General features: G+C 66.2%; 2 protein-coding genes across 6 annotated transcripts in view, besides 2 other annotated features; one reads left to right on the plus strand and one right to left on the minus strand.

Annotated features, from left to right (window-relative positions):
• The window catches only part of TRAF7 (TNF receptor associated factor 7), a 22348-nt gene extending 12811 nt beyond the window's left edge, over positions 1-9537 (plus strand). For 2 of the 4 annotated variants that reach the window (NM_032271.3, XM_011522700.2), the window contains 17 exons: positions 2022-2138; positions 2672-2764; positions 2980-3013; positions 3599-3782; positions 3873-4007; positions 4590-4807; positions 4889-4962; positions 5196-5244; positions 5329-5456; positions 5659-5741; positions 6519-6558; positions 6709-6825; positions 6908-7030; positions 7242-7361; positions 7457-7588; positions 7673-7792; positions 7968-9537. In NM_032271.3, coding sequence (NP_115647.2) covers positions 2022-2138; positions 2672-2764; positions 2980-3013; positions 3599-3782; positions 3873-4007; positions 4590-4807; positions 4889-4962; positions 5196-5244; positions 5329-5456; positions 5659-5741; positions 6519-6558; positions 6709-6825; positions 6908-7030; positions 7242-7361; positions 7457-7588; positions 7673-7792; positions 7968-7982 — 1782 coding nt within the window. In that variant the 3' untranslated portion in view covers positions 7983-9537. Of the gene's footprint in view, positions 1-2021; positions 2139-2671; positions 2765-2979; positions 3014-3598; positions 3783-3872; positions 4008-4589; positions 4808-4888; positions 4963-5195; positions 5245-5328; positions 5457-5658; positions 5742-6518; positions 6559-6708; positions 6826-6907; positions 7031-7241; positions 7362-7456; positions 7589-7672; positions 7793-7967 lie in introns of those variants that run through there. The other 2 variants (XM_005255627.6, XR_007064922.1) reach the window with 2 other exon arrangements.
• CASKIN1 (CASK interacting protein 1) overlaps positions 8588-15821 on the minus strand; it is a 19426-nt gene continuing 12192 nt past the window's right edge. The window contains exons 15-20 of one of the 2 annotated variants that reach the window (NM_020764.4): positions 15239-15349; positions 15054-15155; positions 13199-13337; positions 11001-13007; positions 10310-10733; positions 8588-10054 (exon numbers count right to left, since the gene is read on the minus strand). In NM_020764.4, the coding sequence (NP_065815.1) occupies positions 9958-10054; positions 10310-10733; positions 11001-13007; positions 13199-13337; positions 15054-15155; positions 15239-15349 (2880 nt within the window). In that variant the 3' untranslated portion in view covers positions 8588-9957. The remainder of the gene's footprint in view (positions 10055-10309; positions 10734-11000; positions 13008-13198; positions 13338-15053; positions 15156-15238; positions 15350-15821) is intronic. The other variant, XM_024450361.2, reaches the window with a different exon arrangement.
• Positions 9236-9737: an enhancer, noted in NCBI's record as "H3K4me1 hESC enhancer chr16:2227829-2228330 (GRCh37/hg19 assembly coordinates)". NCBI's record gives its function as "activates a minimal SCP1, AML or CMV promoter by ChIP-STARR-seq in naive H9 embryonic stem cells {active_cell/tissue: H9 hESC(naive)}" and the evidence as "EXISTENCE:reporter gene assay evidence [ECO:0000049][PMID:30033119]".
• Positions 13872-14372: an enhancer, noted in NCBI's record as "H3K4me1 hESC enhancer chr16:2232465-2232965 (GRCh37/hg19 assembly coordinates)". NCBI's record gives its function as "activates a minimal SCP1, AML or CMV promoter by ChIP-STARR-seq in naive H9 embryonic stem cells {active_cell/tissue: H9 hESC(naive)}" and the evidence as "EXISTENCE:reporter gene assay evidence [ECO:0000049][PMID:30033119]".

Consider the following 15821-nt stretch of genomic DNA (forward strand, 5'->3'; position numbering starts at 1 on the left):
GAAAGGTGTGTGGACCTAAGCTGTGGGGACACCAGAGGCAATGGGGTGGGGGTTGCGGAACCTGCGCCAAGTGCTGGGGGAGCCGGAGAATTCCCTGTTGCTGGCTGTGTGAGGTGCAGAAAGGATCAGGGCAGTCGGGGGCTGGCTGCTGGTACCTGAGCCCTGTGGCCAGGGTCTCAGTGGCCGTTCCCTGCCATCCTGGTCAATGGCGCTCATTGCTGGGCTCTGGGCCTACCCAGGGGACAGAGGCCAACTCTACCCTGGGCATGAAGGACTGGCCCAGCAGGGGGTGGGGGTGTGTGGGGCCTCTCTGGCAGCTGCCTCTCTCCAGTGCTTGGACACCAGGTGTGGCGGCCCTGCTGGCCCTCTTGGGACCGAGGCCTTTTCTTTTTTCCTTTTTTCTTTTTTTTGAGACGGACTTTTGCTCTTGCTGCCCAGGCTGGAGTGCAATGGTGTGATCTCAGCTCACCACAACCTCCGCCTCCCGGGTTTAAGTGACTCTCCTGCCTCAGCCTCCCGAGTAGCTGGGATTACAGGCGTGCACCACCACTCCTGGCTAATTTTGAATTAGTAGAGATGGGGTTTCTCCATGTTGGTCAGGCTGGTCTCGAACTCCCGACCTCAGCTGATCTGCCCCCTCCTTGGCCTTCCAAAGTGCTGGGATTACAAGTGTGAGCCACCTTGCTCAGCCAGAAAAGAAGTTTTTAATTAATTGAACAAACACACCTGTGTGCCGGGCGCTGTGCTAGGCCGAGGGCGAGTTGGGTATGTCTGGGCCCCGTCCCCTGGGCCTCTGCCTGCCTCGGTCTCCACAACCCGAAGCCACGAGTCCTCCATGTCTGTGGTTCCCATAATCACCTGCTATCCCCATGGGTCACGGTGGCTTTCAAGAGAGGCGGGTACCTTCTCTGTTTGCTGATAGGCCCACACAGGGAGTCCCCCTCCTGCCCTTCCCCCGTCCCCCAGGCCTGCCTGCTGTCAGCCCCTACGCCCAAGAGGGTGGGAGACTCTGGGGTAGTATTGGGCAGGCCCGGGAGAGTGGTTCCCGTGCCAGCTCCTGCTCTGCTCTCGCCCCTGGGGCTCCCTCTGCTGCTGTGGGGCCTTGTGACTCACTTTCTCTGACTCCCTTCTGTTCCCCATGTGCTGCTTCCATGCAGACGGGCCCTTGGGACCCAAAGGGAGGTGGGTACATGGCACACAATGCCCCCCGCCGGCCTTGGGACTGGTTTGCCTCTGTGCTCTGTGGGTTTCATACCCAGGCTGCCGGGAAGGGGGCCAGAGGCTCGGCAGAGCAGCAGCTGGGCCCCTCTGCAGTCAAAGCACCAGGAGAGAAGCCTTGGGCAGTGTGGCTCTTGGAAACTTCTGGAGGTTTCCAGGCCAGAGGGGAGGAAGGGACAGTGTCTGCCCCTCCCCCAGGCTCCCTTGTCGGTGGCTCAGCCAGAGGCAGGCACCTGTGGCCCTCACTCCTGCCCTCGGGAAGCTCAGCCGAGGTTCTCTGGGGGCCTGGCCCTGCCTTCCCTCTGAGCCTCCCAGCTGGGCCTGGTGTCCCCCACCAGCAAGGCCAGACAAGCAGCCAGGCCCGGGGGGCACCTGGAGCCCAGCCGTCGCTCCCTGCCAGCATTCCTGGCCCTTCCATCCTGCGGTCACGGCCTCGGCTGTCCAGGATTGGCTGGTGGAGGTGCCCCCTCACGGCCCACATTCCCCCACGGGAAGCAGGAAGCAGCCCGGGTATATGGAATTGAATAGCAGGAAGTCTCTCCATTTACACAAAGAGAGGTGGCAGGCGTGAGCGGGCAGCCCAGCACCCCGGCCCAGGCCGCCCAGGCGGGCAGGCAGGGACCTGGGTTGCATCAGCTCCCCACGCCCACCCACGGCCCCCGTGGACGAGGAGAGTACCCGCAGGGACCGGGGTGGCCCCAGGGGTGCTGCTGCCCTCGCGCTTCCGCCGGGCTGGGTCCTGTCCTCCCCGAGGCTCTGACCCCGTGCGGAGCCCCCCGACAGGCGCCTCTCCCTCCACACAGCCCCCCATCAGCACTCCCCGCCGCTCCGACTCCGCCATCTCTGTCCGCTCCCTGCACTCAGAGTCCAGCATGTCTCTGCGCTCCACATTCTCACTGCCCGAGGAGGAGGAGGAGCCGGTAGGTGTGGGGGACTCGGCGCAGAGCGGCTTCCAGGGCTGTCACCGCAGCCGTGGCACGGAGGCACCTTCCCCTCCGCCATGCCCGCCCAGCTCACAGGGAGAGGGCGGCTGGGGCCTGACGGGAACTGCAGTGCTTGCTGGTCCGTGGTGGGGACTCGAGGGACCAGGCCGGGTCCCCTGGGCATGTTCCCCCACTCCCCCTTCTCAGGGCTGCCCGGGAACTGGCAGCGGGAAGCACAGGGCTCCAGCAGGGCCCTTTCTAGTCTCACCCCAGGAAGGAGGCGGGCGAGGGCGGCCAAGGCTGGGCGGCTGAACTCATCCTCCGGGGTTGGGCCCTGCCTCTGGGGCCACAGACCTCGCTCTCCCTCCTGGGCCCCGATCAAGCCCCCCAGCTCTAAGCAGGCCTCTCTCAGGACGTGACCCTGTCCTCAGAGGACAGCCAGGCCTGGAGCAAGAGCGCCTGGGTGCCTGGGTGGTGGCGGGGCTGAGGGTGGCCTCCCGCCATCGCCTGCCTTTCCCGCTTGGTTCCAGGAGCCACTGGTGTTTGCGGAGCAGCCCTCGGTGAAGCTGTGCTGTCAGCTCTGCTGCAGCGTCTTCAAAGACCCCGTGATCACCACGTGTGGGGTGAGCCCGCCGCCCTTCCCAGCCCCCCTGCTGCCAGAGGCCCCCACAGGACCCCAGGGCTCTCGGGGGCCGGGGCTGTGGCGCCCTGGCCTTGGTCAAGGCCTGTCCTGGCTGCACTGGGCTTGGGGTACAGCGAGGCCTGTGGCTGCCATGGCCATGGACTAGGGAAAAAGAGGACCCTGCGCCACCCTCAAGCCCGCCCTTTGCCTCCACAGCACACGTTCTGTAGGAGATGCGCCTTGAAGTCAGGTAGGTTTGTGCCCCGGCCCAGGCCTGACGCCGACCGTGCCCATGGCTGCCGAGCAGAGGCGGGCGGCTTCTCCCTTGTCCCCTGCACAGCGTCCGGCCCTGTTTGGCCTCTGCTGGGGTTGGGATGGGGCTGCAGCCGTCCTAGGGACGCTCAGGCTGAGGCTCGGGACCTCCATGAGCAGAGTGGGGACACCCCAAATTCCAGTGTGTCCAGACTCAGAGACCCCACAGTGGGTGTGGGCCGAGGCTCCCCATGCCAGGGTTGGCACCCTCTGGGGAGGCCTTTCTCACTGGCGAGGCTGTCGTCCTCCCGCACGGCGCCCGCTCCTGCCTGCCTCTCCGCACTCTGCCCTCTGCCCTCTTGGCCCCACCCCACACTTTTCCGGGCACAGCTGAGTGTCACAGGTGACACTCCCTCAGCACCTGCTGCTCCTTCTTGGTGGCCCACCTGTGCCCCCGTTCCCATGTTGCGTGCCTCAGAGGCGCAGATGGACAGATCTGGCCCCCATTAGAGGCTCATGCCCACCCGGGTGAGGGAGCGTGTGCCAGGCAGGCCGTGAGGGTCAGCACGCCCTCCTCTCCCAGAGAAGTGTCCCGTGGACAACGTCAAACTGACCGTGGTGGTGAACAACATCGCGGTGGCCGAGCAGATCGGGGAGCTCTTCATCCACTGCCGGCACGGCTGCCGGGTAGCGGGCAGCGGGAAGCCCCCCATCTTTGAGGTGGACCCCCGAGGGTGCCCCTTCACCATCAAGCTCAGCGCCCGGAAGTAAGTGCCCCTCCCTGGGCACCTCTGCCTCCCTGGGGGCTGCTTCTCAGGGCTCTGGCTGAGGCCTCCCCGCATCCCGCCCTGGCACAGGGACCACGAGGGCAGCTGTGACTACAGGCCTGTGCGGTGTCCCAACAACCCCAGCTGCCCCCCGCTGCTCAGGATGAACCTGGAGGCCCACCTCAAGGAGTGCGAGCACATCAAATGCCCCCACTCCAAGTACGGGTGAGTGGGGGGCGGGCGGGGGTGGGCCGGGGTGGGCGCAGGCCCTCCACAGGCTCCGCTGAGAGCTGCCCGCTTGCTGGTCCCGGGGAGGTAGGCCGGAGCTGGGGCCACACCGGGGTCTGTAATCCTCTCTGAGGCCCAAGGCCCTGGAAACCCAGAGGGGGAGCCGAGGGCGTCCAGGAAGGCGGGCGTGGACGCTCCCGCAGCCGGCCCAGCATGGGCGGATTTGAGCAAATGCTGGGGTTGAGAGCTTTGGAGAGGGAGGTGGGGGTGGGAGGAGAGGCAGGAGCCCAGTTCTTCAGGGCAGGGAGGTGGGCAGGGAGGCTGCCAAGCAGCGTGGGTTTTATCCTCAGGAAGGGAGGACCCCTTGAAGAGCTCTGCGGGGGTGACGTGATGGGATCTCACTTGTGAAGCAGACTGGGGGTAGCTGGATGGGGAGGAGGGGCAGGACGGCAGGTGTGGGTGGGGGCAGCTGGACCTGGGGTGCAGCGGCCACAGGGCTGGAGCATTTGAGGGGGATTCTTGGGGATGGGGAGGCACCGGCAGGGACCCGCCAGGCAGGCAGCTGTCCTGTCCCCGCAGGTGCACGTTCATCGGGAACCAGGACACTTACGAGACCCACCTGGAGACTTGCCGCTTCGAGGGCCTGAAGGAGTTTCTGCAGCAGACGGATGACCGCTTCCACGAGATGCACGTGGCTCTGGCCCAGAAGGACCAGGAGATCGCCTTCCTGCGCTCCATGCTGGGAAAGCTCTCGGAGAAGATCGACCAGCTAGAGAAGAGCCTGGAGCTCAAGTTTGGTGAGGGTGGGCACCGGGGCAGGCAGGGGCCTGGCCACTGCTCCGGGCACCAGTGACACCCCCTCTCCTCCTGCTACTCAGACGTCCTGGACGAAAACCAGAGCAAGCTCAGCGAGGACCTCATGGAGTTCCGGCGGGACGCATCCATGTTAAATGTGAGCGGGCGGGGCTGGAGGGGCTGGGTTGTGAGACCCGGGGAGGCCGGCGGCCCCGGCAGGGAGGCCTCCCCTGGCCTTGCCTACACTAGTCAAGATCAGGGGTCTTGTGTGTGGCAGGGGCTGCTGTCACCCCTGCCCACCCCTGGCCCAGGGCAGCAGGGGCAGAGAGGCTGCACTGGCCCCACAGCAGCCCTGCCCACCTGCCCTCTGCCCTGCCCTTGGCCCTGCAGGACGAGCTGTCCCACATCAACGCGCGGCTGAACATGGGCATCCTAGGCTGTGAGTATGGACCCGCCGTGGCTCCCGCCCACCCTCCCCCCCGGGCCCCAACTGGGCCTTCACCCACTGCTCCCATCTCTGCAGCCTACGACCCTCAGCAGATCTTCAAGTGCAAAGGGACCTTTGTGGGCCACCAGGGCCCTGTGTGGTGTCTCTGCGTCTACTCCATGGGTGACCTGCTCTTCAGTGGCTCCTCTGACAAGACCATCAAGGTGGGCAGGGTCCTACCTCAGTCTCTGCAGCCTGGCTGGGCTGGGCACTGCCACATGCCTGGCACTGCCAGCCTGCCTATGGGTGGGACCTTCTGGGCAGGGCCCTCTCCCATGGGCGGGGCTCCCTCACTCATTCCTGTCATGCTGCCCCTTGACACTGGGCTGACCTTGCTGGGACCCACTGTGGCCCTGGTCTCTGCAGGTGTGGGACACATGTACCACCTACAAGTGTCAGAAGACACTGGAGGGCCATGATGGCATCGTGCTGGCTCTCTGCATCCAGGGGTGAGTCCAGGCACATGTGTGATCAGTGATTCCCAGGACAGGAGACGTGGCGCTGCCACCCCGTGGGCCGTGAGCCATGAGCTCGAGCCTGTGTAGCTATGTGTGTGCCCCACCTATAGGGCACCCTCCACCCGGAGCAGCACTGTTTCCTGGGTAGCAGTGTGTGGGCCCTTGTGTGGCCTACACCATCTCCAAAGTTGTGTGTTCCCAATACCTGGCGCAGCCAGCCTCCCAGCAGAACCTTGTCCTGGCCCAGGTGCACCTTGCGCAACCAGAAGATAGGGGGGACCTTAGGGGGTGAAGGCAGGAGCTCAGCTCTCCCCTGCCTGCAGCCAAAGCCCAGGGCATAGAGACTACGGAGCAACTACCTTGGCCACTTTCTTGCCTCCAGGTGGCCCGCCTGCCTCCTGTCTCCTATCGTGAGGCTTTGTGGGAGCGAGCAAGTAAGCGTGTGCGTGAGAGATGCTCGCTTTCAGGAGGCGGCAGCTTGACTGCCAGCAGCCGGCCCTGGGACTGACTCAGGGCTGACGGGTGGGTAATTACCTCCCAGCTCGCTGTCAAATGCTTTCCAGGCAGGCATCAGGGGCTGGCCCGCCCCTTCCAAGGTTCCCATGTGGAGACTGGAAAATAGGCTGACGCTTAAGGACACAGCAGTGGCCTTGGCCCTGGGCCATGCTGCTGGTTCCTGATGGCTGGCATGGACCTCGGGCCCTGCCAGGGCGGTGTCAGCATGGACACAGCTTCTCCCACCTTGACACATTGTCTCTGCTTCCCCAGGTGCAAACTCTACAGCGGCTCTGCAGACTGCACCATCATTGTGAGTGGGGCCTACAGGCGGGTGGGCAGGAGGCGGCCCAGGCCCGCCCCAGTCTGTAGGTGCCCCAGGGACGTGTTTCTCCCCGTCTGGGCTCCAGACTCCAGGTGGCAGGGCTTGGTGCCCTGAGGCTGCCGGTCCTTCCCCAATCAGGTGTGGGACATCCAGAACCTGCAGAAGGTGAACACCATCCGGGCCCATGACAACCCGGTGTGCACGCTGGTCTCCTCACACAACGTGCTCTTCAGCGGCTCCCTGAAGGCCATCAAGGTACGGGTGGAGGCTGTGCCTACGTGTGTGTCACTGAGGCGTCCCTTGCCCGCCCAGCCCACAGTTGCAGCAATCCCTGCAGGTCTGGGACATCGTGGGCACTGAGCTGAAGTTGAAGAAGGAGCTCACAGGCCTCAACCACTGGGTGCGGGCCCTGGTGGCTGCCCAGAGCTACCTGTACAGCGGCTCCTACCAGACAATCAAGGTGCGCTTGGGCACACCTGGTGGCCACAGGGCCTTGCCTCCTACCAGCACTTCCCAGGCCAGCACCTGGGGCTCCATCTGCCCTGTTCCTACCTTCGCACATCCCCTGGCTGGGTGGGTGGGCTGCCCAGCAGTGCTGAAGCCCTGGGGGTGCGGGGGCCCTGGGGGTGAAGCACCTGGCCTGGGACCAACTGGCCCACGATTACTCATAGATCTGGGACATCCGAACCCTTGACTGCATCCACGTCCTGCAGACGTCTGGTGGCAGCGTCTACTCCATTGCTGTGACAAATCACCACATTGTCTGTGGCACCTACGAGAACCTCATCCACGTAAGGCCTGGGCATCTGGGTGCAAGGCCAGACTGTGGCCCCGTCTCCCCCGCCTTGCTCAGTGTCTTTGACCTGCCTGTGCCCACCCCTCCCAGGTGTGGGACATTGAGTCCAAGGAGCAGGTGCGGACCCTCACGGGCCACGTGGGCACCGTGTATGCCCTGGCGGTCATCTCGACGCCAGACCAGACCAAAGTCTTCAGTGCATCCTACGACCGGTCCCTCAGGGTGCGTGCTGGCCCAGCGGTGGCAGGAGGCTCAGAGGGCTGGCAGCTGAGCTCCGGCGGGCCCTCACGTCCCATGTGCCCCCAGGTCTGGAGTATGGACAACATGATCTGCACGCAGACCCTGCTGCGTCACCAGGGCAGTGTCACCGCGCTGGCTGTGTCCCGGGGCCGACTCTTCTCAGGGGCTGTGGATAGCACTGTGAAGGTCAGTGCCCGTGGCTCAGGCCATTCAAAGGGGCTGCACAGGATGGAGCGGGGGTGGGGACGAGGAGCTGGCAGCCCCAGCACAAAGTGGTGGAGGGCAGGTACGTGTGGCAGGTGTGGCTGGGGCAGGGCAGCCGGCCGCAGGACATCCTGGTGAAGCAGCCCTTTCTCTGCAGGTTTGGACTTGCTAACAGGATCCAGGCCAGGCTGTGGTTTCCCCTGAACCAGCCCTGGACCTTTCTGAGCCAGGCTGGCCACATGGGGTGGTCTCGGGGTTTCTGCCTGCCCCGTGGGCATAGGTGGACAGGCTCTGGCAGCCGGGCAGTGCCCTCCCCGTCCCATGCTCGGCGAGCCTCCCTCTACTCGGCACTGTCCTTGCTGCCCAGCCCCTCTCTGGGTGCCAGGTACGACGCTTGCCCCGGCCCACCCTCCATCCCCACCCTCCATCCCCACCCTAGATGGAGCGAGGGCCTTTTTACTCACCTTTTCTACCGTTTTTAGACTGTATGTAGATTTGGTTACCTCCTGGTTGAAATAAATGCTCCACAGACTGTGGCTGTGAGTGGGGACAGCTCCTCGGGACAAGGGGGCTGTGTGTGGCCTTGAGGTTGGTGTGCACAGGCACTGGCTGCTGTGAGTGGGGGGGCATGGGGCAGTTTCCTTTGGTGGACCCCAGGACTTCGGCCCACTCCGGGGCCTCCCCTCCCTGCTAGGAGGCAACTCGTCACACCCAAGCTGCTGGCCTCCAGTCCCATCTCCCCCAACACATGTGCCCCCAAAAAGTGAGCCAGGCACCTCTGTTTCCTGCTGTTTATTGACAGCCGACGGCAGCGCCTTGCCCAGACCTCCCCTGCCCACCTGCTGGAGCCCAGCCTGTGCCGCCCTCTGAGGAGAGGCCTGGGGGGACAGCTGGGCACGTCCACTCGCAGGGAAACACGGGGTGAGACAGCAGGAAGGGGCCCTGCACGCCGGGACGCCACCTCCGCCAGCCGCCTCCACCCGCCCCACACCACAATCGCTGGTTTTCGGCATTTTTTAAATTTTTTTTTTAAGAAACGTCAAAGTTGTGCCCAACACTGTGGATCAGCAAACACGATAGAGGAGACCAGTCAGTACTTCTTGGAGGGGGCAGGAGGAGAGAGGAAAAGGGAGGGCGAGAATGACCACACAACACAGCCTTGGACCATGAGCAGAAGCGTCCGTGGGAACTCCACTGGGGTGGATGGGCTGCCTGCACAGCCCCTGGAGAGGGGGCCAGGCACACCCTCAGAGGAGCTGCAAGCCCGTGGCCTGGCCTGCTACATGCCCTGCTTCCACGTGGCTGCCACGCTGACACACCCACATTCACCAAACCCACCCGCGCCCTGGGACGCAGCCACGCCAGGAGGAGGACACGGCCGCCGAGAGCAAGGCACAACCTCGAGTTCTTGGGGCGCAGAGAACTTAGGAGAGAAGCACGGAGGAGCCCCCGGCAGAGCACCCGCCCCCGGGCCCCAGCCTTCCACCTGTGCTAGCAGCCTGGGGCCTCCACTCTGGCCGGAGGAAGGACCGCAGGCAGACAGCCTGGGCCTCTAACAGCTTTTGTCCGGAGCTAGACTTCGTGTCCTTTCAGTTGGTAAATGGTTTTCTATAGAATCAATAATATTTCTTTCTTTAAATATATATTTGTTAAAGTTATACCTTTTTGTTTCTCTGGGGAAATCCGCCTCAGCTCATTCCCAATAAATTAATACTCTTGATAGCTTATATTCTGGGGGTGCGGTGGGGCAGGGGGGCCCTGACCTTGGTCCCCTGTCCCTTGTGCTGCGCCCGAGCGGCTGGCCGGGCGTCCCGATGGGCAGTTCTGTGCTGGGCCCGGGCCTGTGCGCTGCCCCATCCCTGGTCCCGGGGCGCCCTCCCCTCCCGCGCGGGCAGGAGGCCCAGCAGGTATTGCACGGGGAGCAGCAGGTGGGGAGGACCCGCGGGCGCAGGGTCTGCCTAGAGCCCTTGGAGCCCCCGGCCAGGCGGTCCCCGGTGGGCGCCCCGGCCCGGGTCCAGGGGCCGGAGTTGTGCTTCTGCAGGGCCCTGCCCGGCCGCTCGCGCCGCGCCCAGACGCGCCCATCCTGAGGTATAGGTCAGTGTGCGGGGAGGGCCCGGGCGGCGCGGGAGGGCCCGGCCAGGCGGCGTTCACTCCAGCATGGCATCCAGCTGGTCGGCCAGGTCGTCGAACATGCTGCCGATGTCGTCCAGGATGCTGCCAGTGCTCTTTTCCGCCGCCGAGTCGCTGCGGGGCGCGGGGCAAGGGGCGTGAGTGGGCGGGGCGGGTCTGGCCACGCCCACCCCGACCAGGACACGCCCACGTCCCGCATCTCCGTCGGCTTCCGCCTACCGCACGACGACCTCGGCGGAGCCCCGCTCACGGCACGCCCATCTCTGCCGAGCCCCGCCCATCTCTGCCGAGCCCCGCCCATCTCTGCCGAGCCCCGCCCATCTCTGCCGAGCCCCGCCCTCCGCCCGCCAGGCCCCGCCCCGCACCTACCGCGGGCCCTGCGCGTCCTCCTGCCGGATCTTCTCCTCCACCGCCTGCAGCGCCGCGGCCAGGCACGCGCTTGTCTCCTCCAGTTTCTGCCGGGCGCTGTCCCCTGGCGAGGCGCCTTCGGGCGGGGCGGGGGGCGCGGCGGCGGCGGCGGCGGCGGCGGCGGCGGCTCGCGGGGGCTTGGCGGGCACGTGCAGCGCGGGCGCGCCGGGGGACGGGGGCTTGGCGGGGCTGGCGCCCAGCGAGGGCGGCGTACCGGGCGGCTTGGCGAGGGCGGCGGGCGGCTGTCGCGCGGGCGAGGGTGCGGGTGAAGGGCCGGCGCTGCCCGAAGGCAGCCCCGCGACCGCCTTGACGGGCTTGGGCGCTGTGGGCGGCGGCGGCGGCTTGGGAGACACGGGCGGTGGCGTGCCGTGGGCGCGCTTCACCTCTGCGGGGAGGACCACGCTGGCACCGAGCGGGCACGAGTTCCGCCGCCGCGCCCCCTGCCCCAGCCTCCCGCGGCTTCCTCCCCAGCGGACCGGGAAAGACCCTGCTCACCTTGCCCCCAGCCCTGGATGGATGAGAGGGTCTGGGGACACGTTCCCACCCCACCTGGGCTTCCATCAAACCCAAGAAAAGGAAAACCCCTCAGACCACCGAGTAAGGAGGTGGAGCAGGGTCCTGTTGCCCCTTCACCCCACCCTGGCTGGCCTACCTGGGCTGCCAGGGCCTGGCAGCGGCACCTTCTTGGAGGTGGGTGTGGGCGAGCCCTGGAGCTTGGGCACAGGCTGCGTCAGGACGGGCTTGGGAGAGACAGGCGGCTTGGCCGGCTTCCGGGCTTCGCCCTCGGGCGGGGGCAATGGGGGTAGGTGCGCCAGGTCGGTGGGCGGGGGTTCGGCAGGCGGGGGCGGTGGAGGCAGCTCCGGAGGCCCAGCCTGCTCCGAGGCCGGTCGGCGGCGCACGGTGCCAGTGCCATTATGGTACACGGACAGTGGCGGTGGTGGCTCAGGCCCGGCCTCCCGCTCCTTGGCCTTGGGCCTGCGCTTGACCGTGTCAGACTCGGTCAGGATGAACTTGACGTTCTCCTGCTGGTTCTGCTTGGCCCGGATGCGCCTCTTGAGTGTGGCGCTGGCTTCCACCTTGGCCAAGGGCGGGCCTTCGACACCCGCCTCGCCCTTGGAGGGACCCCGAGGCCGCTGCCGGCCAGTGCCATCCTCCACAAAGGGGCCTGGGTCTGCCGACTCCCCAGGCCCCCGGCGGGCAGTGGCCAGAAGTCCGGTGACTGGCCCGCTGAGCGTGCGGCGCCGGTTCACCACCTCCCCGCCAGGCCCGATGGCCTCTTTGTGTTTCACTGAGGCCAGCACGGTGGCCACCCGGCCCGGCTCTGGGCTGGCAGGGCGGGGAGTGGGGTGGCCCTCAGGAGGCCTGCGGGCAGCCCGGCCCCCACCCCCAATGGAGGACAGCTCCAGCATGGCCGCGATGCTCTTCACACTGCCGGCACTACCCGTGTCCACGCTGCCGGCCAGGTCACTGGCCCGCCGGCACTGTGCCCGGACCCCCAGCAGGCCATCCTCAGGCTCGGCGTCAGGCACCGGCTCATCCGCCAGGTTGGCACTAGCCAGGGCCGAGCTGGAGCGCTTGGGTGGGGGCGGCGGGGGCCCCTTCTTTCGGGGCCGCACGGCAAAGGACTGGCTGCGGTTGACGTTCTTGTCGGCACCTGCGGGCGCCCTCACTGAGTGGCTGCGGCCCACGCGCCGCTGGACCGTGGCATAGGGGCCGGCAGCCGCAGGCACCAGCAGCTCGTCCCGCTCCGGCTCGCTGTCGGACGCCGCATAGCGATTCAGGCTGTGGGCCCGCTTCTTGGGCCGCCCCGGCTCCGCGTCGGCCTCAGGGGGCAGGCACAGTGTGGGCACAGCCGTCGGCACGGGTGGGGGCGCAGGCCCCGGGGCAGCCGGCCCCACCTCGCCCTCCACGGGCTGGGGCAGCACGTAGGCAAAGCCGCGGTGCGTCGGTGACTGAGGCAGGGAGCGGGGTGACATGGGGCGCTCTGTCGGCGGCAGCAGCTGCGGGGTGGGCTTCACCTTGGCCGTAGCTGGGGCTGGACCATGAGGTCCCCCAAGGGCCTGGGGAGAGCCTGGTCGGGTTTTGGTGGGCGTCTGGGGGGGCGTGAAGTGGCTAGTGCCTGGTGGGAGGACCTGCCGTGGCTTGCCAGGCACGGGGGGCACGCTGGCCCTCTTGATGCTGTGGCCGTGGCGGCCGGGCCGGGCCTCCCTGGGCGGGGTGCCGGGGGCGGGGCCCTCATCCAGGAGGTACTCCTGGCTTCGAGACATGGGGCTGCTGGGCCCAGGGGGCCCATCTCCCAGCAGCTCCTGCGAGCTGCTCATGTGCCGTGCCCGACCACCCAGGCTGGAGTCCTGCCGCGTGGTGGCCCTCGGGGTGGGTGGCAGGTGGCTGGAGGGCTTCTCAGTGGTGGGCCCCACCTCAGCCGGGCCAGTCATGGCAGCCTGCAGCTCGTCACTGAGCTCGCTGTCCTGGAAGGTGGTCATTTTAGGGGACTGGCAGTCGGCCGGTGTGGGCTCAGGCGGGGGCGGCGACTCGATGGCCATCACTTCAAGAGACTGGGGCGCCTTCCGGCGCAGGGGGCCCCCCTCATACTTGGCGTATTCAGCCTTCTGCAGCTCTGCCAGCTTCCTCACAGCGAGCATCAGCTTCTTCTGGTGCCCTGAGTGGGGCGCAGGGGGCAGGTCAGGTGGACCAGGAGGCGGAGGGGCAGGGGCCGGGCTAGGGGCGGGGCTGGGCTGGGCTTGGGGCCCAGCTTGGGGCTGGGGCGGGGCTGGGGCTGGGCTGGTGGCTGGTGGCTGGGGCTTGGGCTGAGGGTTGGGCTGGGGACGAGGGCTGGGGCTGGGGCCTCACCCAGCTTGGTGATGCCGATCTCCTGCAGGTCCTCCCAGGTGATGTCGGTGATGAAATCAATGTTCTCGTAGCCATTGTCCACCAACACCTTGTAGTACTGGGCCAGGCCGATCATGGACAGCCACACGGCCAGGTTAGCCTACAGAGCAGACACACAGAGGAGCCACCTGGGCTGGCTGCCCGCACCCTGCCCATCTACCTGGAGCTGGAGGAGGAAGGGTCACCGGGCCAGCAGGGCACAGACAGACAGGAGGACAAACGGATAGGCCGAGGTATTGGCACCAGAAATGTAGGCAGAGCCTCGGCTCAGGCACCGGACACTGCATGCCGCATATCGCACACATGCGCACACACGCACGGCTGCCCACATCCACAGGACACCCTTGTCGGGGGGGCAGAAGAAGGCACTTTCCCACCCGGCCAGGCAGCCACGAGTACAGCACCATGGGGAGACACACCCGAGTCATGGACACAGACGCATGGGGCCACACCTGGTACAGGAACACGCACATGATTTGCACGCTGCGCTCCCAGCCGTGCACAGGCACCAGCACCCCATCCCGTTTCACACTCTGACCTCTCACCCACATCACAGGGCCACACACATGCCACACAGCCACAACACACACACGTGCCAACACCCACAGCAATCTGCACCGAGAAACACCCGATCACTCCCCGAGCGGCATTCAGGCGTCCACACTTCCAGCTGGAATTCACTCATGCAACTGCTCTTGAACACTCAGCCACCCCCAGGTGCGCGGCAAGGCCCGTGGGACCCGGACCTGACCCCTAGGAGGATCCCCGAGCCACCAATTGAGTGAGGCAAGGCAGGGTGAGTGCAGACCCACGCGCCAGGTGGCTTTTGACAGCCACCGATCGCCTCTCCCGTTGGGAGCCCAGAGCTCAGTGTGAGGCCCAGAGAGTCCGCTTCAGTTGGGCTAGGCCTGGGCCCACCTTCTTCAGGCCCGGAACCCATCCCACTGCACAGGCACCTCCCTGTTGTTTTGCTTTGTTTGAGACGGAGCCTCGCTCTGTCGCCCAGGCTGGAGTGCAGTGGCGCAATCTCGGCTCACTGCAAGCTCCGCCTCCCGGGTTCATGCCATTCTCCTGCCTCAGACTCCCAAGTAGCTGGGACTATAGGCACCCGCCACCACGCCTGGCCAATTTTTGGTTTTAGTAGAGACTGGGTTTCACCGTGTTAGCCAGGATGGTCTCGATCTCTTGACCTCGTGATCCACCTACCTCGGCCTCCCAAAGTGCTGGGATTACAGGCGTGAGCCACCGCGCCCGGCCGCACCTCCGTGTTAATGACGATTGGCCATGGCGTGTGCAGGTATCGCTGAGAATGGGGGTGTCAGCTATTGGTGAGGGCCACACGTGCGGTGGAGCATGTGTGCACGCACACAAGCTGGTGGATGCCTGCAGGGTGTTCCATGCACACCTGCCAGGCGTGTGGCTGGCACGTACCTGGGTGCCTGTGAGCAAAGGCCGTAAGCATGGCCCCCTACAGTCTGCATGTGAGTGGCAGTGCTTGGAGGCTTGGTGGCTGGGGGTCCCTGTGGGGCAGCCTGCATGTGGAGGGAGTCCTGGTGAGAGCATGGACGTGGGGAGGGGACTCTCCTGGCTTCAGGCTCCCTCAGCAACGACGACCCCTGGACAGCATCACCTTGCCCCTGCCCCAGTGACAAAACAGGGGCTGATCGGGAGGCTCCCTGCTAGCAGGGCATCCTCCACTCTCCTCTCCCTCAAGCCCCTGAGGGCGGGTGGGAGTTGTGGCCAGGGAGGCAGGTTCTCTGTCTGTCTGTCTGTCTGCCCGTCCTGGGCCCAGCCCCTGGGATGCAGGTGGCCTTACGGGTTTGTGCTCAGGCAGCCAGTCAGGGATGCTTAGGCCGCTGATCTCTGCCGCGATCTTCTTCCGGTGGCCCGGCTTGGTGACACCAATGGCCGTGAGGTCCTAGGCAGTGGGGAGGCTTGTCAGCTAGGGGCTGGGCCCATCTGTGGGACGCAGCTGGCGCTGGCGGCGCATGGAAAGCTCACCTCGGGAGTCATGCGGCTGATGGTGGGCAGGTCGTAGCCGGCGCTGATGAAGTTGGGGGCGTAGAGCTGCAGCTGGAACGCGGTGAGCCACTGGCTCACGGCCTCAGAGCTCTGGAAGACACAAGGCACCCACTGCAGGCTCGCCTGCCCGGCCGCGCCCTGCCACCACAGTGCCGCCTCCTCTGCTTGGCCGGCCAGCCGTGCAGCCACTGCGTCCGCCGTCCGCTGCTCCATCTGCAGCAGGCCCCGGTGAGCCTGGCCCGTGAGTGATCCTCAGTCCGCGGTCCCGGAGGCGCCTCCTGGAGCATCCTCCACCCTTCCGCCTTCTTCTGGGATCTCCACCGGTGGGGGGAGGGGGGCGGGGGGGCTGCTACTGTCCGCCACACGCCTCCCTGACTGTCCCCTGCTCCTGCACCAGGGACGCCCCACGCCATCTTGGGGATGCAGGTGGTATGGCCCCTTGGGAGGGGGCTCTGGGAAAGGGGCCTCGGGCTGGACCGGAAGGTGGGCTCTGTGCCCACAGGCAGGGGCACCTTGCCTCCTCCACCGTGCAGGACTCAGCCAGCAGCTTACAGCTCTCCGG

Source organism: Homo sapiens, chromosome 16 (genome assembly GCF_000001405.40).
Source record: "Homo sapiens chromosome 16, GRCh38.p14 Primary Assembly".
NCBI lineage: Eukaryota > Metazoa > Chordata > Mammalia > Primates > Hominidae > Homo > Homo sapiens.